Source organism: Homo sapiens, chromosome 19, assembly GCF_000001405.40.
Source record: "Homo sapiens chromosome 19, GRCh38.p14 Primary Assembly".
Classification (NCBI taxonomy): domain Eukaryota; kingdom Metazoa; phylum Chordata; class Mammalia; order Primates; family Hominidae; genus Homo; species Homo sapiens.
In genome coordinates this window covers 11,440,205-11,461,669 of record NC_000019.10, presented here as the reverse complement: position 1 = coordinate 11,461,669, position 21,465 = coordinate 11,440,205, and the positions used below count along the sequence as shown (strand labels likewise).

Below are 21,465 nucleotides of genomic sequence, written 5' to 3'. Positions count from 1 at the left end.
ACCATGATTGCATCACTGTACTCCAGCCTGGGCAACACAGCAAGACCCCATCTCAAAACAAACCCACAAACAAAAACCTCACTTAACAAGAAAAAGAAAGAGGAAAGGAAGGAAGGGAAGGAGGGAGGGAGGAAAGAGGGAGGGAGGGAGAGTGGAAGGAAAGAAGGAAGGAATGAAGGAAGGAAGGAAGGGAGGGAGGGAGGGAGGGAGGGAGGAAAAATAGATACAGCAGACATAAGGGGGAGAATTGCTGATGACCACGCCCCAGCCTCTTCCCCAGTCCCTGGTGACAGGTCACCCACTGAGCATTTGAGAGGTGGACTTCCCTACCATGCTTCCAGGACATTGATAAACACACAATGAAACAAGGTCACACAATATTCCCTGCTTTGTAAATAGACTTTTCTGTCCCCCATTTTACAATACTCACCAGTCACCACCGTTTCTGGGAAATAAATATATATGTCCATCTTTTTCTCTTTTTTTTTTTAGAGACAGGGTCTTGCTCTGTAGCCCAGGCTGGAGTGCAGTGGTGTGATCATAGCTCACTGCAGCCTTTAACTCCTGGGTTCAAGTGATCCTCCAGCCTCAGTCTCCCGAGTAGCTGGGACCACAGGTGTGCACCACCACACCCAGCTAATTTTTTTTTTTTTTTTTTTTGTAGAGGTTGTGGCGGTGGAGGACGGGGGTGAGTCTTGCTGTATTGTCCAGGCTGGTCTCAAACTCCTGGGCTCCCTTGATCCTCCTGCCTTGAACTTCCAGAGCACTGGGATTACAGCCATGAGCCACTGCACCTGACCCACCATTTTTTTAAACACCTGCAGAGAGTTTCGTTGTTGGGTTGGACTATAATTAATAATGTGATTCAGATAACAGTGCTAAAATGTGTCTAATTCCTAGTTAGGAGAAGTGCTTTGAGAAAGAGTAATAGGGGTGGTGGGGGGAGGACAAATTTAGATGAGAGAGGACAGGGAGGATGTTTCAACTGAGACCCAAAGAAAGAAGAGGAGGAAGAGCATTCCAGGCAGAGAGAACAGGCAATGCCAGGGCCCTGAGGCTGAGACATGCCTGGTGTGTTTGGGAAAAATGGGGGAAGTTCAAGTTGCTGGAACACAGTAATTGGGGCAGGAAGTAGGGGGAGATGAGGGCAAGGATGTCATGGGGAAGAATGTGCAGGGTTTTGCGGTCCAAGGAAAGGACTTTGGCTTTTCTGCTGAGGAAGGTGGGAGCCATAGAGGGTTCTGAGCAGAGGGGGGATGCGACCTGGCTCAGGTGTTCACAGGCGCCCTCTGGCTGCCGTAGGGGGGACAGACAGTGGGGGATGGGAGCAGGGGGGGCCAGGGTGGAGGCTGCTGCACTGGTCCAGGTGATCAGTAGTGAAGGCTGGGCCAGGGTGGGACAGTGGCAGTGGGGTGAAGTGTGTGGATTCTGGATAAGGAGGAAGGTAGAGCCTACAGGATTTAGAGTGGGTTGGATGTGCATGTGAAGAACAGGTGTCGAGAACAACCTGAACCTGGGGACATGAGCACTTAGGAGGACAGAGTTGCCATTAGTGAGTTGGGGCAGATTGGAGGCGGGCGGGAGCAGGAGGCACCCGTGCTGTGTATGAAGTGCCCTTGACACCCCCATGTGGGGCACCTGGATGCAGTTGCCACCAGGGGTGCAGACTGGGGACATTTGGGAGCTGATGACTAAAGACCTGAGTGTCCCTGGGGGGCCCAGTGTAGCTGGGAAGAGAAGGGGCCAGTGTCTTAGGTCCACTCTCTATAGGAGTGGGAAGAGTGGCTGGGTGTGGTGGTGCATGCCTGTAGTCCCAGCTACTTGGGAGGCTGAGGTGGGAGGATGGCTTGAGTCCAGGAGTTGGAGGCTGCAGTGCAGTATGATTGCACCTGTGAATAATAACTGCATTTAGCCTGGGCAACACAGCAAGACTCCGTCTTTCAATAAAATAAAAATAGGCCAGGCATGGTGGCTCACACCTATAATCCCAGTATTTTGGGAGGCCGAGATGGGAGAACTGCTTGAGGCCAGAAGTTCAATACCAGCCTAGGTAACACAGTGAGATCCTGTTTCTACAAAAAAAAAAATTTAAAGATTAGCTGAGGCCGGGGGAGGTGGCTCACACCTGTAATCCCAGCACTTTGGGAGGCGGAGGCGGGCGGATCATGAGATCAGGAGCTCGAGACCAGCCTGACCAACATGATGAAACCCTGTCTCTGCTAAAATTATAAAAATTAGGTAAGGCGCGGTGGCTCACGCCTGTAATCCCAGCACTTTGGGAGGCCGAGATGAGCGGATCACAAGGTCAAGAGGTCAAGACCATCCTGGCCAACATGGTGAAACCCGTCTCTACTAAAAATACAAAAAAATAAAAAAAAAATTAGCTAGGCGTGGTGGTGGGCGCCTGTAATCCCAGCTAGTCAGGAGGCTGAGGCAGGAGAATTGCTTGAACCCGGTAAGCAGAGGTTGCAATGAGCCGAGATGTCGCCATTGCACTCCAGCCTGGCGACAGAGCAACACTCCATCTCAAAAAAAAAAAAAAGAAAAAAAAAATGCTGGTCAGGCGTGGTGGTGGGCGCCTGTAGTCTCAGCTACTTGCGGGGCTTAGGCGGTAGGATTGCTTGAGCCCAAGAGGTCGAGGCTGTAGTGAGCTGAGATCACACCATTGCATTCCAGCCTGGGTAAAAAAGTGAGATCCTGTCTTTAAAAAAAAAAAAAGGTCAATGTTTGTTGATGGACTGTCAAGCATGTGATAGTGATGTGAGCCGGCTATTCAAGGATCCCTTTGGGGTCACATGTCACCCCAGGGAGACATGTCCTCCCTAGGTGGCAGGTCCCCATCACTCTATACAGGCAGTCCAAGTTGTTACAGCCACTGCCATGTCCCCTCTCCCATATCTGACTCAGCCCCACCCCACGGTGACAACTCTAGAGATACTTATTGAGTGACGGATGGGTCACTTCTGCTAACTCCGTGATGGTTTAGACATGGCCTCACTCTCTCCATCTGTGAAATGGGTCTCTGCCTCACCCCTGTCCATCTGACCCCCTCACCCAGGTGTCCTATGCCAGACCCAGTTCAGCATCCATCCGGGATGCTAACCTGTACGTCAGCGGGCTCCCCAAGACCATGAGCCAGAAAGAGATGGAGCAGCTCTTCTCCCAGTACGGCCGCATCATCACGTCCCGCATCCTGGTGGACCAGGTCACAGGTCAGGCAGTCAGGGAGGGTGCACCTGGCGGGGGCGCTGGGCAAAGGCAGTCAGGTGGGACCAACGTGGGGAAACCGACCAAGATGCCAGGGCATGAAGCAGGGAAGGGAGAAGTGGGGTTACACAGGAGGGGACAGGGTCGTCGTGATGGACATCCCTGCCCCCTGGCAGGTGTCTCTCGGGGTGTGGGATTCATCCGCTTTGACAAGAGGATTGAGGCCGAAGAGGCTATCAAAGGACTGAATGGGCAGAAGCCGCTGGGCGCAGCTGAGCCCATCACAGTCAAGTTCGCGAACAACCCAAGTCAGAAGACGGGGCAGGCGCTGCTCACCCACCTCTACCAGTCATCCGCCCGGCGCTACGCAGGCCCCCTACACCATCAGACCCAGCGTTTCCGGTGAGCCCCCTGCCAGCCAGATGGCCCCAGGCCGGGTGCCCCCAAGCTTGCAACCCTCCCTGAACCCCATTCCTGCCGAAGGGAGGGATGCCGGGAGGGTGCGCACACATGGGAGCCAAGGAGCCTATCTGTCAGGTGCCAAGGCCAGCCACTCATATACAGCAGGCCCTCAATGTGTGCTGGCCGCGACGATTGGCATTCTTGGTGTTAAAAGATTTTGGCGTCATCTGGGTTCCAGCTCTGGTGGCCCCTTTCTCTTTTGGGCACGTGGCTGTAGCTCTGTGCCTCAGTTTCCCATCTGTAATAACACCAAATATTTCATGAGTCTTTGCTGTGTGCTAGACACCCTTATTTTTCTGCAACCCGATGAGAACAGAGCTTGTGTTGTCCCTGTTTTATGGACGGGGACCCTGAGGCACAGAGAGGTGTTGGGGTTTGCCTGGCCCAAACAGAGCAGAGACTCAAACCCAGGACCTGGAGTCCAAGCTCATAGCCACTCCAAGGGGAGACAATGGAAGCCCCTTGTGGGCCCCCGGGTGGCCGGGGCAAGTTACCCACCCCCTCAAGTGCTGCGAGAATGTTGGCTGTGGTAGTTACTGTCGCCTTTGTTAGGAGTTATCTTTCCCCAGGGATCCCAGCGCCTGGGCCCAGAGGGGACCCGCCAGCCAGGAGGGGGAGGATGGATGAGGAGGCCAGTGCAGGCTGGACAGCGGTGGGGCAGGCGAGAGGCGGTGCCTGAGTGACCACGGTTCCGTGCCAGGCAGTGTCTAGCCGGGCGGGCGGGGAGCAGGCAGGCGGGGGCAGGGCTCTGCTGCAGGCCTGTTGGGTGGGGGTGGGGAGGGCAGGCCGACGGTGTCACAGCAGGGGGGCGTGACTGGAAGCCACCTCTGACCACCACCTCTGCCTCCACAGGCTGGACAATTTGCTCAACATGGCCTACGGCGTCAAGAGGTAACAGTGACCCCGCCCCACTGTCCCCACCCCTCACCATCCATGCCCCTGATGCACCCCTCCCCAGCTCACCCCCAGGGCTGCAGGCTTAGCCTTGTTTGCCTGGGTCTTGGAGTAGCATGGCCATTGAGAGATGTGACATCAAAGCCAGACGTGGTGGTTCTCGCCTGTGCTCCCAGTGTTTCGGGAGGCTGAGGGGCAAGGAGCACTTGAGGCCAGGAGTTCAAGATCAGCCTGGGCAACATAGTGAGATCCTTCTCTACAATTTTTTTTTAAGGATTAGCCTGATACGGTGGTGCATGCCTGTAGTTCAGGCTACTCAGGAGGCTGAGGCGGGAGGATCGCTTGAGCCTAGGAGTTGGAGGCTGCAGTGAACTATGATGGTGCCACTGCACTCCAGCCTGGGTGACAGAGCGAGACCTTATCTCCAAAAATTAAAAAATGTGGCTGGGCGCGGTGTCTCATGCCTGTAATCCCAGCTACTCAGGAGGCTGAAGCAGGAGAATCGCTTGAACATGGAAGGAGGAGGTTGCAGTGAGCTGAAATCGTGCCACTGCACTCCAGCCTGGGCAACAAGAGCGAAACTCCATCTCAAAAAAAAAAAAATAATTAAAAAATGTAAAAGAAGATCTCAGTCTGAGTCTAGTGGGGGAGGAGACAGAGAAATGAATGGTGATGAAAGCTGTGAAGTAGAAGGGGTAACAGAGGCCGGGCGCGGTGGCTCACGCCTGTAATCCCAGCACTTTGGGAAGCCGAGGCAGGCGGATCACGAGGTCAGGAGTCCAAGACCAGCCTGGCCAAGATGGTGAAACCCCATCTCTACTAAAAATACAAAAATTTAGCTGGGCACGGTGGCAGGCGCCTGTAATCCCAGCTACTCGGGAGGCTGAGGCAGAGAACTGCTTGAACCCAGGAGGCGGAGGTTGCAGTGAGCTGAGATCGTGCCACTGCACTCCAGCCTGGGCGACAGAGTGAGATTCCGTCTCAAAAAGAAAAAAAAAAAAGAAGGGGTGACGGAGACCCAGCAGCAGAGACCCCCCAGTCCCATCTGAGGCAACATCCACACAAAGGCAGAGTGGAAAGGGAGTTCCTAGCAGTGGGAAAAGCCTGTGCAAAGAGGGCCAGAAGGAGCGAGTAGTTTGTTCCTCGTGGTCAGGATTGAATGGTTCAGGCCCTTGGGTCCTCCCTTCCCAGCTGAGGGGTTTAATCCAAGGGCGGGATTGCCAGTGAGGAATGTGAGTGGAGCCAATTCTGTCCTTTCATTAATTCATTCAACAGACACCTCCCAAGTGCTTACTAGGTGTTGTTCAGGGGCTGGAACAAACTCTTGCAGGGAAGATGAAGTTGATGATAATAAATATATGATTTGAAAAGGAAAGCCGGGTGCAGTGGCTCACACCTGTAATTTCAGCACTTTGGAACTCCAAGGTGGTAGGATTGCTTGAGCCCAGGAGTTCGAGACCAGCCTGGCTAACGCAGCGAGACCCCACCTCTACAAAAATTTTTAAAAATTAGCGGGGCATGGCTGGGTGCGGTGGCTCATGCCTGTAATCCCAGCACTTTGGGAGGTCGAAGCGGGCGGATCACCTGAGGTCGGGAGTTCGAGACCAGCCTGATCAACATGGAGAAACCCCATCTCTATTAAAAATACAAAATTAGCTGGGCGTGGTGGCAGGTGCTACTCGGGAGGCTGAGGCAGGACAATCGCTTGAACCTAGGAGGCAGAGGTTGCAGTGAGCTGAGATCATCCCACTGCACTCCAGCCTGGGCAACAGAGCAAGACCCCGTCTCAGAAAAAAAAAAAAAAAAATTAGTGGGGCATAGTGGTGCACCTGTAGTCCCAGCTACTTGGGAAGCCAAGGCAGGAGGATTGCTTGAGCCTGAGAGTTCGAGACCAGCCTAAGCAACATAGTGAGACTGTGTCACCACAAATCATAAAAAAAATTAGCTGGGTGTGAGGGCGCCTGCCTACAGTCCCAGCTGCTCAGGAGGCTGAGGCGGGAGGTTTGCTTGAGCCCAGGAGGTCAAAGCTGCAGTGAGCCATGATTGCACCACTGCACTCCAGCCTGGGTGACAGAGCGAGACCGTGTCTCTAAAAAAAAAAATTGCATTGCAGGGGTCACACCATTCCAAGGTCATGGCACAGTCAGGGGTCATAAAGGTGTGAAGGGTCACAACGGGGTCAGAAGCATGCGGGGGGTCAGGGCAGAGCCCGCGTGACCCCCAAAGTAGTCCCCTGTCGCTCATCGCCAGGTTCTCGCCGATCGCCATCGATGGTATGAGCGGCCTGGCGGGCGTGGGCCTGTCGGGGGGCGCGGCGGGCGCCGGCTGGTGCATCTTCGTGTACAACCTGTCACCGGAGGCAGACGAGAGCGTGCTGTGGCAGCTGTTCGGGCCTTTTGGGGCAGTCACCAACGTCAAGGTCATCCGTGATTTCACCACCAACAAGTGCAAGGGTTTCGGCTTCGTGACCATGACCAACTATGACGAGGCGGCCATGGCCATCGCCAGCCTGAACGGCTATCGCCTGGGCGAGCGCGTGCTGCAGGTCTCCTTCAAGACCAGCAAACAGCACAAGGCGTGAGCCCACCCCGCCTGCCCTCCCACCCCCTCCCCGGGCAGCAGAGAGAGAGAGAGAGAAAGAGAGAGAGAGAGAGAGAAGGGGCCCAAGAGAGACAGCACAGGCAGCCCCACGGACGACGCGAGGGCCCCACGTCCCTGCGGAAGCCACAGGGTGAGCACTCTGGGGTGGGAGGGTCTGCAGGGAATTGGGGGGGTGCCCGGGGATCCCCCGCCCCATCCTCCTGCCCCCACCCCAGGCTGGGCTGTTCACTCTCTCGTCTTGGTTTGGTTCATGGTGAAGGTTTTTGTTTCTTTTTTCGGCTAAAAAGAATGCAGAGATGTGCCCCCACCCCCACCCTCGACCACCCCCGATGGGATGGCTTGGGGGGCTCCAGGGGGTGCCCTCCCAGACCCCCTTGCCCAGGCCTCCCCAGCACCTAGGTGGGGCCTGGGGTAGGAGGAACAGGTTTAAAAATCCCCAAAAAAGCGAACCGTGAGGAGGGGTGTGGGCACCCCCGGCCCAGTGCCCCCTGGTGGAATGCGGGGGAGCAGGCAGTGGGGCTGGAAGCAGAAACAAAATGAAAAAAAAAGGGGGGTGGGAGGGGAAGAAAAACTCTATTTTTGTAAAAAGGGAAAAAGACCTCGTGGAGAATTTTTACTGGGGATTCTTGAACTTGAAAAAAAAAAACACAAAAAAAGACAAAAAAAAAAAAAGAAAATATTTTGGCAGGTTATGTTTACCAACTGGGGCGGGGGTGGGGGGGGCCCAGGGAGCAGGGCTTAGGGGCTAGCAGCCCACGGGGCCACACAGAGAAACAACCACGCAGACAGTCACACCACGGGGACACACGGACAGACGCAGACGGACACAGCGACATGCCCCAGACACGTTAAGGGACTGGTTGGCCAAACTCAGACACGTGGACAGGGATAGACAGAAAGAGACAGAAGCTGGGGCTACGTCCATGTGGACACAGACCACAGATGTGGGCACACGAATCCATCCACCTGTCCACGTGCACACGTGAATGTAGCGATAGATATTTGGACATCAAATTTGGACACCAGGTCACGGAGAAACACAAACACCACCCAGGAACACGCAGACATATGCCCATAGCATCCCACAGGCCCAGGCAGGAGGTCCCACCCCAGACCCTGCCCCAGACGCTCCCTCACCCTCTCGGCCCCCTCGCCCTGGCCCCCAGGTTCTCTGCAGAGATCTCTCCTGGACCCCCAGCGGTCTCCTTGGCGCCCACGAACACAGGCGTGCACACGCAGCGCACATGCATTGAGACACACGATACCTCGTTCCACCTTGGCGTCACGGTGGGCTGGAGGCAGCCCCCCCCCCCACAACACTTGAGGCCAAAGGACACCCCTGTCCCCGGGGCTCAGCCTCCCCCTGGGCCGAGGCCTTGGCCCACACAGCTGAGGGAGAGGCCCAGCCCTGAGCCTCCCCCACCAGGACTGGGCCTCCCCGGCAGCAAGACCCCGGCACTCCCCGCCAGGCCCAGGGTGGGGTGGATGGGCCCAAAGGCCCAGCCCCACACTCCTTTCCCGTCCACTTGTCACCTACCTATCCCCTTTCGGTTTGTTGGGTTTTTCGTCTTTCCAGATTGCAGTGGACACAGCCCCCGATCTCGAGCCCCGGCCCCCGGCTTCTGTCTGGACATTGCATCGCCCTAGTTTTCTTTCTTTAAAAAAAAAAAATTCCAACAGAAGCCACAGGCCGGAGCCCCTGGGAGCCCTCGCACCGCTCCCCACCCCACTCAGCGGCCCCATCGGAACTGAGAATTGCAAAACCCCCGACTTTAGCTATAGTTAAGTTGCCTTCCCCCGGTGTCCCCACGTTTGGTGTCTGGCTATGGCGCCCCCATCTGACTGTCCAGCTCTCTCTCCCCCACCCCTCCCGGTGTTGTTATTAAACGTCTGTGGAGCTTCTGCTGCAAGGAACAAAAAAGAAAAAAATCAAAAAAGCGACAAAAAAACACAAACAGAAGAGGAAAAAAAAGCAACAAAAAAAGAAAACACACAGAAGAGATTTAAAAAAAAAAAAGGAAAAAAAAAAAAGACATAAACTGGCACCAGTTAACTTTCTTGTACTTTTTTGCTGAATTTAGCTTCTTGTAGTTTTAACTTATTGCTATGTTAACTATTTATTCTCCTCGTTGCCCTGTAAGGACATCCGTGTATATTTCTGTTACTTCATCCGGTTTGCAAGTTAAAGGAACGACAATGTTCTCTTTGTTTCTTTAAGTTTTGCCGAGACATGGTTATGCCTAATTTATTTATAAAAGGGGAAGTGGAATCATTAAAGTAATAATAATTATTAATAACAGTAATGGTAGCCGAGTGGCACGCGGGGGCGTGTGCTCTGCGGGACAGTCCCCACGGCCAGCGACGTCCAGGTCACCAATGGGATTCTTTTTGCTCTTGTCTTGAGAATTTTTTCAGTCCTATTTAGCTGGTGAAATCCCTAGCTTGTTCTTGATACACGAACCTATTTATTCTCGTGGTTTTAAGTCCTCCCTGCCCTCTCTCCTCTCCCCTGCAGCAGGGCAGGGACCCCTCTCCCCTGCTGTCTCTTGGGGCTCTCTCCCCTCCGCCCTCTGCATTCGGGAACACGCACGTCCGCGTGGGAAGCTTGCAGCAGGGCGTCCGAGCAATAAGGGCTGGGTTTGTCCCCCACCCTGGGGGGGGCCAGGCTCCAGAGAGGGGGCACCTCCCCACACACCCCCCCCCCACCGAGGCCTAGGCCCCTGCCACCCCCAAGACTGGGAGGGGACTTCTTTTTCTAAAACACAAAACTCAGCCCAGCCAGGCCCCCTCCCTGGAGGCCAGCCCCTCCCCGCAGGGGGCCAGGCCGGGGCTCCCAGGCGAGGGGGACTTGGGGCTTCCACGTCCCTGGGGGGCAGGGGCCAGGCCAGGGGGGAGGGGGCTCAGCCCCTCCACCCCTCCCTTCATCCTGTTATTTATTCGGAAGGTTTCAAATCACGACAGAGTCCATGTTGGAGGTGATAAAAAACTGTAAAAAAAAAAAAAAAAAAAAAGACAAAACAAAAGACAAAAAAAAAAAAAAAACCCAACAAGAACACTTCGCGTTGCGTTTAGACTATTTATTACCGGGATCACAGGCCTGGCCGCGGTAACAGACTTTTACATGGAATTGTTTAATTATTTGTACTTTTCATGCCAGAAAATAAAAGTTCAGAATCTTAAGGCCTTGGGTGATCTCTGCACCGCTGCGCGGGGAGCACGCAGGAGCAGCCTGTGTAGTAGCGCCCAGGCCCCCGTCCTTCTCTGGGCCTGGGTCTGTCTGCAGCAGGGGCTTTGGCCCCGGGAGGGAACCCTTGGCCTCCACAGAGCACAGATGAGACCCAGGGAAGGTGGGACACGGGCCCGGATGGATGCTCAAGACAGAAATGGTCCAGGGTCCATCCACCTGGTATCTTCAGGAGTGATCCCCAGATGGTGGGGGAGGCCCGGGTGGGATCTGCAGAAAGCTGCGTCCCCTGCGCTCAACCCCTGCCCACACCCCGGTCCACACCCCAGCAAAGCGAGGCAGACACAGACAAGTTTGGGTGGGGGATCACATTTATTGTATTGAGGTCACAGGTCAAGTCATTCACTAGTCCCCACTAGGAGGGGTGGCAGGGACAGGGCTGGGGGTGGTGGGGCGAGTCACCAAGGTGGGGGGCCCAGGGAGGGCAAGCTCCTTTACCCATCTTTGAAGGCTGTTGGGGCCTGGGAATGTGGACCAGCCCCGCCTGGGCCCCAGAGCAGGGCACGAAGCCCCACAAAGGTCCTGCCGCCACAGAGGAGGGCAACAGAGCCACAGGCAGGCCCAGAGGGGCGGGTGGACGGCACTGCAGGGGCTGGCTTCATGCCTTCTTGAGGTTCTGGGGCAAGAGAAAGACCAGATTAGAAAGCTGGGGACAGCTGGACATGGTGATGTTTGCCTGTAGTCCCGGCTGCTTGGGAGGCTGAGGTGGGAGGATCATTTGAGGCCAGGAGTTGACCAGCCTGGAGACCTTGTCTATTTTCTCTTATTATTATTATTTTTTTTTTTTGAGAGTCTCACTCTGTAGCCCAGGCTGGAGAGTGCAGTAGCATGATCTTGGCTCACTCCAACCTCTACCTCCTGGGTTCAAGTGATTCTTGTGCTTCAGCCTCTTGAGCAGCTGGAACTACAGGCACCTACCACCACACCCAGCTAATTTTTTTGTATTTTTAGTAGAGATGGGGTTTTACACCATGTTGGTCAGGCTGGTCTCAACCTCCTGACCTCAAGTGATCCGCCCACCTCAGCCTCCCAAAGTGCTGGGATTACAGATGTGAGCCACGACGCCTGGCCTATTTAGTTTCAAAAGTAAAAAAATCTTTTTTTAAAAAGCAGGGGATGGCCAGACATGGTAGCTCAAGCCTGTAATCCCAGCACTTTGGGAGGCTGAGGAGGGCGGATCACGAGGTCAGGAGATCGAGACCAACCTGGTTAACACAGGGAAACCCCATCTCTACTAAAAATACAAAAAAATTAGCCAGGCGTGGTGGCGGCGCCTGTAGTCCCAATTACTCAGGAGGCTGAGGCAGGAGAATTGCTTGCACCCAGGAGGTGGAGGTTGCAGTGAGCCGAGATCGCGCCATTGCATTCCACATTCCAGCCTCGGCAACAAGAGTGAAACTCCATCCAAAAAAAAAAAGGCAGGAGATGGCCGGGTGTGGTGGCTCATGCCTGTAATCCCAGCACTTTGGGAGGCCAAGGCAGGTGGATCATCTGAGGTCAGGAGTTCGAGACCATCCAGGCCAACATGGTGAAACCCCATCTCTACTAAAAATTAGCCAGGCATGGTGGTGCACACCTGTAATCCCAGCTACTTGGGAGGCTGAGACAAGACAATTGTTTGAACCCGGGAGGTAGAGGTTGCAGTCAGCTGAGGTCGCATCACTGCACTCCAGCCTGGGCCAAAGAGTGAGACTCCACCTCAAAAAAACAAAACAAAAAAGCAGGGAACATGGGGACACAGGTTGATAGAGTGGCCATGTGGGTCCATCTTCCTCAGGGCCCGCCGCCTCCCCTTGCTGGGGCAGGCCGACGAGACTCCACCTCCCCGCCCACCTCTGCGCCCATCCAGCTAGAGCTCGTCATGGTCGTCTTCGGTGGGTGCTTCAGGCGGTGGCTCCGGGCAGGCGGCTGGCGTCATCAGCTCCATGAGGTACTCGCAGCGACTGGGCTCTGTGGTGCTGGTCACCATGGTCTCTTTCCCGCACAGGAGGCGCACCTGGGGATGGGCAGACGGGTGCTCGAGAGGGTTCGGCTGGGCCAGGCCTGGGTCTCCCCGCCCCAGCTCCCCTGCCTTGCAGGCACTCACGGTGGTGGAGCGGTTGGGGCCCTGCCAGCAGCCCGTGCCTTGCTCATACTTCATGGCACTGAACTTGTCGTGGTCGGGGCCAATCCATGAGCCCCAGGTGCTGTGAGAGACACAGGGTGCTGAGGGCTGGGCCGGTGTCGGGGCACCAGGAGGAGGCAGAGGGAAGGGGCCAGCCCAAGCCACTCACCCAAGGCTGGTGGGAGAGCCCCCGAGTTTGGGTTTCTGCGAGACAAGCTTGAAGGGGCAGAGGCGGTAGACGTATCTGTGGAGGACCGGGACATATGGGTTGGGGAACGCAGGGATTCCAGCCTCCTCCCACAGCCACCCCCCACCGCCTCCTCCAGTCCCCACACACAGGGTACCTCCAACTCCAATGACCAACCCTAAACCTGGCCCCTGGCTTCTGCTCCCCCTCAATATGGAAGGCAGCACTCTCGGGCCCCACCCGCAGATGGTTCCCCAACCATCAGGAAACTGCCGGTGCCACTTCCGGGGCCACCCGCCTCCCACCCTGCCAGTGGGGGCCCCTGCATTCCTGGGACGCACTCGTTGGTGGTGAGCTCGTAGCACTGGCTGTACAGGTAAGCAAACTCCCCGTTGGGGCCAAAGTCAAAAGAAATCTCTTGCTCCAGGTTCCTGGAAGGGGAGGCGGAGCGGTTAAGGGGCAGCTGGGGACGCCAGTGCCTGACCCAGGACGACAGACACAGGAGGGTCTGGCTGAGCAATGGTGCCCAGGCTGTCCTCCCTGCCACCTCCCAGGGACCCTCCCTGCAGGGACCAGGCCCAGCCTGTGGTTGCCTCAGTGATTCCCCATCACCAGCTCCCCTGGGAGTCAAGGAGCAGTCGCTGTGGGACAGGTGTCCCCGCTCCTCAGCCCCCGCTACCTGATGGACTCCTCCATGTCCTTCAGCGACCGCTCGGCCTCCTCGAACTTGTTGCGGGCCTCCTGGGCAGCTGGGAGAGGGGTTGGAGGTCAGAGATGTCCTCAACCCCATCCAGGAGGATGGGGAACGGGGTTCCATGGATGTGGCTGTGTGCTCCCATACCCTCATTTTGCTCTGGCCAAGGACTTCACCCCGACAGCCTTGAGGGCCTCACCAGCTATAGAGCAGCCCCGACTTGCTGCCCAGGCTCCCAGCTCCTGAGCGAGTGGGGCCAGGAGTGACACAAACAAGCTGCGGCCCTTGGGGAGGCAGAAGGGCCCCTTGGGGCTGGCGAGGGTGGGACTGGCTTACCCTAGGCCCCCTTCCTGGACTCCCCAAGATACTGGGGCTTGTGCTGGCCGAGTCAGAGCAGGGTCTAAGCTCAGGATCTTCCCTCGACCTGTGCCACCACGGCAGGAAACGCTGGGCCCACCCGAGGAGCCTGGCCCCCGCCCACCCTCACCATCGATGAAGGCCTGCGTCTGCTCGTCGTAGGGCGGCATTTTGTCTTCCTCAGCAGGGCTGGCCGGCTGCGGGGGTGACAGTGGCGGTGGGGCCTCCTGGGGCAGGGGCAGGGTCAGTGAGTAGCCCTTCCCCCACCCTCTCTGTCTCCACTTCTCCCCCAAACACGGACCTTGGGCTGCTCCCCCTGCACCTCGGAATCCTCCTCCTCCTCCTCTTCTTCAGCCTCTTCTTCCTCCTCCTCCTCCTCCTCCTCCTCCTCCTCTGTGGGCGACGAGGGCACTGGCGGCTGCTCCTCCTTGGGCTCCGTCAAGTCAGGGGCAGAAGGTGCTGGAAGGTCGGTGGGCAGTGCCTGGCGGGTGAGCAGTGCGGTCGGTGTTGTGGACTCAGGGTCCACCCACACCCTCAGGCTCACACCACAGCCCAAGGGGCAGCCTCGGTGTCTCTGCCCCTCCTGCGGGGCCTGCAGGGAGGACCGACAGCTGGGGTCGGGGGGTCTCGGTGGGGGGTGCTGGGGCCACCCAGCTGGCCAGGGTGGCCAGGTGCCAGAACCAGAGGCAGCTCCTTTGTGAGGCGGGGTGGGGGCAGTGTGGTGGGAGGACCAAGTCCCCTCCCTTCTCCTCCACTGACCTCGGACCGGTACTTGTCCCTGATGGCGGCCCAGACGCGGTCGTAGAAAGAGGTGGCGTCTGTCTGTGTGTCCCCACTGAGGAGGGCCTGTGTGTGTTGGGGGTGGTGTCAAGATCTAGGCCACCACGTGTCCCCCATCTCGGCCACCCCGGCACCCGGGCTGCGGTGCCAGGCACGGGAGGGCTGGGCCCCGGGCCCTGATGACCAGGCCAGGGCCACGCCAGTGAGGCACTGCGGCCAGGAGGGGGCAGCACAGGCCCGTGGGAGGGGAGGAGGAGACCAGGGGCTGGAGTGGTTGGGGGCACTGAGACAGAAAGAGAGAAGCAGATGGACAAACGGACGTACAGATGGAGGAAGAGAGAGCCCAGGACCAGAGAGGGCCAGGCCCTCCAAGGGAGAGGCCAAGGCCCAGGCTGCAGATGGAGAGGGAGAAACCCAGGGGTGGGCAGAGAAGGGAGGCCAGAAGCCAGGGGCCACGGGGAAGGAGGAGGATAGGAAAGGAGACAGACAGGGGACGAGGGTGTGGGGGAGGAGGGGAATAGGGCAGGACAGGGGTGGGGGAGGAAGGGGATTGGGTGCTCAACAGCGGGTAGAGTGGGGGCAGGTGCGGGGAAACGGGCTCCAGCGCGACCTGGCTCCATCCCGGGTCCTGCCAGGCGGGAAGCGGCCCTGAGTGGCTGCCATCCCAGCTCACCCAGAGGAGGCATCCCAGGCCAGCAAGGAGCTTTCCTTGGTCCCCCTCCTGTGCCCTGAGGTCACCCTGGGGCAATGCTCCCTAGAAGTCCCCAACCAAGGGGCAGCCGGGGGTACCTGAGCTTCCGCTTCTGACAACGCCCCATCCCCATCTGTGTCCAGCTCCGGGTGAGTCTGCAGCTCAGTCACCGAGACCCTGCGGGGGCGTGGCAGAAGCAGACTGGAGGGGTGAGGCCCCAGTGGCTCTCAGTTGGGGGCACCATGTGGCCCACCTGTTCTTCCCTGCAGGGCCCCACCCTGGAACTTGCTTCAGGACCTCAAGGTGTAGGGGCCTCCCCACCCTCCTGCCCCCTCCTCAGGACTCCATGACCCCAAAGGAGCTCAAAGTAAGGGGTGGGACTGGGAGATACCTGGACCCCCAAATGTCCGATGACCTCTCTACCAACTCACCCAGGTGGCACCTCCTTCCACCCCAGGACCCGGCACATTGAAGCTGCCATCTGCCTTGGTCCCCCACCCAGCAAAGCCCACCCCCACCCTTGCCCATTCGGTCCCTCTGAAGCCCCCTGCTCCTTGGCACCTGACATCTCCTAGGCTCCCCGTGTGCCTCTCAGCCCCCAAAAGTCCACCCTCCACCAGGTAACCCAGCAAGCTCAGAGGCACAGCCAGGATTCGAACCCAGGTCTGGCTTTCCCCAGAGCGTAGTGGGGCTGGGAAAAGCCATCCGATCACTAGATGCCTAGACACACTCCCTGAGGCTGAGGGTCTGTGCCCAGCTCCTGGGGAGAGGGTGGTCCCCCTATCTCCTCGCCCAGGGCATCCTGGACCTGGCCATCCACGAGTAAGAGGCGGGGTCACACGGGGCTTGGGATCAGCCTGGACCCCACGCCGGGGGAACCCAAGGAGGATCTGGCTGGTTTCTAGAGGCGAGGGTGGCGGGGAGGGAAACCCAGGCCCACGGAAAGGTGGGCAGCTCCAACTAGGGGACACTCACGTCCCGTCCATGTCATCATCCAGCTCCTTGAAGGCATCAGCCGCCAGCTCCTGCTCCTGTTGGGCCTTGGCAGCAGCCAGCTGCTCTGTAAAGAAGCCACCTCTGTCACCCCCTGCCCACCCACCGGCTCCCATCAGCCCCCGCACCCCACAGGGTCGTTTGCCACCAAGCGCCTACTATATGCCTGGCCCCATGCTGGACCCTGAGGACACGACTGTGGAGGAGACAAAGGTCCCTGCCCTTACCAGGGGAGAACAGACGAAGAGCAAGGTGAATGGTTGAAGCCTGGTTGTGTTGGGGGAGACCGGGACAAGGTGGGGAGTGCAGAGGCAGGAGGGCCACTGGTGGGGCTGGAGCAGGGAGGTGGGAACCCAGGTGGCAGAGGGCAGCCCTGTCAGGCCACTGTTGGGACAGAGGTGGGGGCGAGGGCAGAAGCCAGGTGATAACAAGGGCTGGCCCAGGCTGGGGACTGAGGAAGAAGCACGGAGCAGAGGCAGATTCTGGGGAGACGCAGATGGAGTGCGCAGACGGTCAGAGGTGGGAGGTGGGGTTGGGGAGAGGAGAGCGACCACTGAGACTTTAGGTTTAGGACCTGGCAGAGGCATGTCGGGGCAGGGCTGGCAGGAATGAGACTTCATGGCCAAGGATGCTGGGAGATGGGGAGGATACAGGGAGGGAGACCGGTCCTGGGGGCATCTTGGGGGTCCCCAGGGCTGCTCCCAGGAAGAGGGGCCAGCCGGACAGAAGGGGACCGAGCCTCTGTCCCAAAAGTCCCTCCTTTGTCTGTCGCTACTCTAACCTAAGCAGAGCGGAAAGCAGCCACAACAGCGGCTCCAATGATTAACTTCCTACTGTATACCAGGATTCAGTTCCCACTGTATACCAAGCTCCAGCTTGGTCCTCTACAAACAGAATAAAAACAGCTGGTATTTCCTCTAGAGAGTCTTAGGTCACCCCAGGACATCCCGCATGTCCCAGGAGACCCGGCTGACACTGTTCTGAGTCTCACAGATGAGGGCCTGAGGGGTCCCTGACCTTTCTGTGGGTGAAGGGACCTGCCCATAATCACCTAGCCAGTGAGAGGTGTAGCCTGGGGCCCAATCCAGGCCATCTACCCTCGGAGCCCTGGCTCAGCCCCGCCACCCTTTGGGAATCTGGGTCAAAACATGGCGCTTCCCTCTGATTCCACAGCTCCACACTGAGAACACATCCTGAGGAAAATCAGGCCTGAGCTTGCCCAGACCCAAGTGAAAGGAAGCTTGCAACACGACAAAGATTCAGGGGCAGACAGAGCCAGACAGTGAATTCCCTTTCTACATGCAATGTGGCCTTACCAAAAAACACCAGGCTCTAGCACCAAAAACAAATGAAGAAGGGAAATAATATCTTCAGTTGCAGACAGAGCTGGGCACCGTGGCTCATGCCTGTAATCCCAACACGTTGGGAGGCCAAAGCAGGCCACCTGAGGTCAGGAGTTCAAGACCAGCCTGGCCAACACGGTGAAACCCCGTCTCTACTAAAACTACAAAAATTAGCCGGCTGTGGTGGCAGGTGCCTGTAATCCCAGCTACTCAGGAAGCCTAGGCAGGAGAATCACTTGAACCCAGGAGGTAGAGGTTGCAGTGAGCAGAGATCGGGCCATTGGCACTTCAGCCTAGGCGACAGAGTGAGACTCCATCTCAAAAATAAATAAACTAAAAAAAAATCTTCAGTTGCAGACAAAGGGCCAAACCCCAGATAGAAAAAGCTCTTTATTATTTTTTTTAGATGAAGTATTGCTTTGTCACCCAGGCTGGAGTGCAGTGGCGAGATCTCAGCTCACTGCAACCTCTGTCTCCCGGGTTCCAGCGATTCTCCTGCCTCAGCCTCCCAAGTAGCTGGGACCACAGGCAGATGCCACCATGCCAGGCTAATTTTTTTTTTTTTTTTGAGACGGAGTCTCACTCTGTTGCCAGGCTGGAATATAGGGGCGCAATCTCAGCTCACTGAAAACCTCCAACTTCCTGGTTCAAGCAATTCTCCTGCCTTAGCCTCCCGAGTAGCTGGGATTACAGGCACACACCACCATGTCCAGCTGATTTTTGTATTTTTAGTAGAGATGGGTTTCACCATGTTGGCTAAGATGGTCTCAATCTCCTGACCTCGTGATCTGCCTGCCTCAGCCTCCCAAAGTGCTGGGATTACAGGCATGAGCCACTGTGCCCGGCCATAATTTTTTCTTTTAGTAGAGATGGCGTTTCACCATGTTGGCCAGGGTGGTCTCGAACTCCTGACCTCAGGTGATCTGCCCGTCTCGGCCTCCCAAACTGCTGGGATTACAGGCGTGAGCCACCATGCCCAGCCACAAAAAAGCTCTTACAATTAGTGAAGACAAATACCAAACACCTGATAGGAAAAATGGTCACTGGATTAACTAAGTCCTGCTAAAGTCATATAACAAAATCTACATTGATGTTAAAAGGAAGTAGGCGGCCGGGCGAGGTGGCTCATGCCTGTAATCCCAGCACTCTGGGGGGCCAAGGCAGGTGGATCACTTGAGGTCAGGAGTTCAGGACCAGCCTGGCCAACATTGTGAAACCCCGTCTCTACTAAAAATACAAAACAATTAGTTAAATGTGGTGGCAGGTGCCTGTAATCTCAGCTACTCAGGAGGCTGAGGCACAAGAATTGCTTGAACCTGGGAGGCAGAGGTTGCAGTGAGCTGAGATCACGCCACTGTACTCCAGCCCGGGTGGCAGAGGGAGACGCTGTTTCAAAAAACAAATTATTTAAACAATTTTTAAAAAGGAGGCTCCTGACATATGCCACAATCCAAGCGAACCTCAAAGCACACAAGGCGATGGGCAGCATGATCAAAAACCTGCTGAAACTGACAACAGATAATGAGCGGGAGACTCCTAGGCCCAGACCTGCTCCCACCCAGGACTGAAGGTGAGTCCTTGGCCATTTCTGCCATACCTTCCCACAGCTTCTGGTGCTGCTCTTTGGCCTCTCTCTCTGGCTTCTCAGCTTCCTCCTTCACTGTCCGCAGCATCTCCACCTGGTCTTCCAGAGACTTCTTCCCAGCCTGTAGCTCAATGAGCTTTTTCTGGGTGGGCAGAAGGCAAGAGACCAGCTCTCCTCTGTTCTGCCTCCTCCTCATTGACTACTACCTCCCTGCCTCTACTCCACAGGGCAGCAGGGAGATGTTCCAAAACACACACCAAGCTGGGTCTCTCTCCCGAGCTGGGGTTCCCTGTAGCCCTCTGGAGAGAAGCCCAAACGCCTCAATGTAGCCCGCAAGGGCCCAGGTAATCAGGCCCCTGCCTGATTCTCCAGCCCCATTTGCCCCATCCCTATCTTACTAGGATCCAGTCGCCCTGACAACATTCAGACCCCTAAACGCTCTTCTGCCTCCGGTTCTTCAAACATGCTGTTCCTTCAGCCTGGAACACTCTACCTGGCTAACTCCAAATTACCCAACAGATTTCATGTGAGATAGAGGCCTCCTCCTCCAAGAAGCCTTCCTTGCCTCCTGCCCCCAAGGCAGAGAGGGAGAGGAACTGGGCAAGAAGTCTCTACCCCGAATTTCCCTTTGTCCAGCAGCCCTGGCTGGCTGTCCCTCCCACTAGCAATGAATGCCTTGAGGCAAATCCAGGTCGGTTTCCAGCCTCCTGCCCAGTACACAGGCAAGGCAGGGAGAGACACACACCTAGGGACCCCAAAGCACCCACCCTATGGAATTAATCCAGCTGCTACTGGCTGACGTTATCTTTCTAACATCAGAACTGGGGAGTCATCTGGTCATCAGCCCATCTTACAGGCAATGGCACCACAGATCCGGGGTACAGAGAAGCAACCCTCCCATCCCCAGGAGGCAGAGAGGCCCTTCCAGCCTGCTTTAGTCTGATGCCCGAGGCCCTGATAAACACCTAAGCTGACAGCCTCCCCCTCGGGAACTATTATACTTAGCCAATGACTAAACGCCTAGCACACAACTGAGAAAGCAAAGCTCCGAAAGGCAGTCACTTGCCCCAGAACAGCAGTCAGGGGCAAACCCCTCCCCAGCCTTGCAAGCCCACACTATGAGGCCTCAAGGCCCAGATCACCCTGGGGCAGCCCCCGCGGGTTCCTTACCTGCTTCTCCTCCCGTGCCTTCTTCCAGTCCTCAATAAGGATCTTCTTCAGACGGAACCCTTCGCGGGTGACCTCGGCCATCTGCTGCAGGGACTCTCTCTCCTTACGGCCCTTCTCTCTGCGGTGCGGAGACACACAGGCACCACCAGTGGGGCACTTAGGATCCACCAGGTCTGCCTCTTCCAAAATAGCTCAATCCAGCTGTGGCCCCCCACCAAGCCATGCTGGGAAAGATGAGAGCAAGCCTTCCTCCCAGGTTCTCTCAACATCAGCATCCTTCATTCCTGTCCTTGAAAGAGGAACAGTGGGTTCTGTAAGCCCCTGGGGTCAGGGAAGGGACTAGGGAGTGCCAGGAGGTGGAGCTAGATATCAACTCTCAAGAGACAGGAGATCAGCTGGGTGCAGTGGTTCATGCCTGTAATCCCAGCAGTTTGAAAGGCCAAGGCAGGAGGATCACTTGAGCCCAGGAGTTCGCAACCAGCCTGGGCAACATATAAAGACCCTGTCTTTACACATAATTAAAACAAATAAAAAAACCACAGAAGACAGAACAGAAATCATGACTCCCAGACAAAAAGACAATCTGGTTACTAAGTGTGTTGGTTGGCTGGGCGTGGTGGCTCATGCCTGTAATCCCAGCACTTTGGGAGGCCAAGGCGGGCGGATCACCTGAGGTCAGGAGTTCGAGACCAGCCTGGCCAAGATGGTGAAACCCTGTCTCTACTGAAAATGCAAAAATTAGCTGGGCGTGGTGGCGCCCAGCTACACGGTGTAATCCCAGCTACACGGGAGGCTGAGGCAAGAGAATCACTTGAACCCGGATGTGGAGGTTGGGGTAAGCAAAGATCATGCCACTGCACTCCAGCCTGGGCAACAGAGCGAGACTCTAACTCAAAAAAAAGTGTGGGCCAGGGGCGGTGGCTCACACCTGTAATCCCAGCACTTTGGGAGACCGAGGCGGGCAGATCACAAGGTCAGGAGATCGAGACCATCCGGGCTAACACGGTGAAACCCCATCTCTACTAAAAATACAAAAAAAAAAATTAGCCAGGTGTAGCGGCAGGTGCCTGTAGTCCCAGCTACTCGGGAGGCTGAGGCAGGAGAATGGCATGAACTCGGGAAGCGGAGCTTGCAGTGAGCGGAGATCACACCA

General features: G+C 56.7%; 2 protein-coding genes across 11 annotated transcripts in view, besides 5 other annotated features; one reads left to right on the top strand and one right to left on the bottom strand.

Annotated features, from left to right (window-relative positions):
* ELAVL3 (ELAV like RNA binding protein 3) overlaps positions 1-10,344 on the top strand; it is a 29,721-nt gene extending 19,377 nt beyond the window's left edge. For 2 of the 4 annotated variants that reach the window (XM_024451413.1, NM_032281.3), the window contains exons 4-7: positions 3,059-3,212; positions 3,384-3,609; positions 4,522-4,560; positions 6,814-10,344. In XM_024451413.1, coding sequence (XP_024307181.1) covers positions 3,059-3,212; positions 3,384-3,609; positions 4,522-4,560; positions 6,814-7,144 — 750 coding nt within the window. In that variant the 3' untranslated portion in view covers positions 7,145-10,344. Of the gene's footprint in view, positions 1-3,058; positions 3,213-3,383; positions 3,610-4,521; positions 4,561-6,792 lie in introns of all 4 variants that reach the window. The other 2 variants (XM_011527778.3, NM_001420.4) reach the window with 1 other exon arrangement.
* Positions 7,619-7,800: a silencer, noted in NCBI's record as "fragment chr19:11564685-11564866 (GRCh37/hg19 assembly coordinates)". NCBI's record gives its function as "represses an EF-1alpha promoter that drives an FKBP-Casp9 reporter gene in an ReSE screen in K562 erythroleukemia cells {active_cell/tissue: K562}" and the evidence as "EXISTENCE:reporter gene assay evidence [ECO:0000049][PMID:32094911]".
* Positions 8,664-9,434: an enhancer, noted in NCBI's record as "H3K27ac-H3K4me1 hESC enhancer chr19:11563051-11563821 (GRCh37/hg19 assembly coordinates)". NCBI's record gives its function as "activates a minimal SCP1, AML or CMV promoter by ChIP-STARR-seq in primed H9 embryonic stem cells {active_cell/tissue: H9 hESC(primed)}" and the evidence as "EXISTENCE:reporter gene assay evidence [ECO:0000049][PMID:30033119]".
* Positions 8,664-9,478: a biological region, named in NCBI's record as "H3K27ac-H3K4me1 hESC enhancer GRCh37_chr19:11563051-11563821".
* Positions 9,359-9,478: an enhancer, noted in NCBI's record as "active region_14020". NCBI's record gives its function as "activates an Ori minimal core promoter by ATAC-STARR-seq in GM12878 lymphoblastoid cells {active_cell/tissue: GM12878}" and the evidence as "EXISTENCE:reporter gene assay evidence [ECO:0000049][PMID:35858748]".
* Positions 9,509-9,558: an enhancer, noted in NCBI's record as "active region_14019". NCBI's record gives its function as "activates an Ori minimal core promoter by ATAC-STARR-seq in GM12878 lymphoblastoid cells {active_cell/tissue: GM12878}" and the evidence as "EXISTENCE:reporter gene assay evidence [ECO:0000049][PMID:35858748]".
* Positions 10,702-21,465, bottom strand: part of PRKCSH (PRKCSH beta subunit of glucosidase II) — a 15,334-nt gene continuing 4,570 nt past the window's right edge. For 3 of the 7 annotated variants that reach the window (NM_001379609.1, NM_001001329.3, NM_001289102.2), the window contains 13 exons: positions 20,313-20,430; positions 19,155-19,284; positions 16,197-16,281; positions 15,320-15,398; positions 14,510-14,596; positions 14,052-14,231; positions 13,881-13,947; positions 13,379-13,448; positions 13,041-13,130; positions 12,682-12,756; positions 12,495-12,594; positions 12,242-12,404; positions 10,702-11,024 (listed from right to left, as the gene is read on the bottom strand). In NM_001379609.1, the coding sequence (NP_001366538.1) occupies positions 12,258-12,404; positions 12,495-12,594; positions 12,682-12,756; positions 13,041-13,130; positions 13,379-13,448; positions 13,881-13,947; positions 14,052-14,231; positions 14,510-14,596; positions 15,320-15,398; positions 16,197-16,281; positions 19,155-19,284; positions 20,313-20,430 (1,228 nt within the window). In that variant the 3' untranslated portion in view covers positions 10,702-11,024; positions 12,242-12,257. Of the gene's footprint in view, positions 11,025-12,241; positions 12,405-12,494; positions 12,595-12,681; positions 12,757-13,040; positions 13,131-13,378; positions 13,449-13,880; positions 13,978-14,051; positions 14,232-14,509; positions 14,597-15,319; positions 15,399-16,196; positions 16,282-19,154; positions 19,285-20,312; positions 20,431-21,465 lie in introns of all 7 variants that reach the window. The other 4 variants (NM_001289103.2, NM_001289104.2, NM_001379608.1 and 1 more) reach the window with 2 other exon arrangements.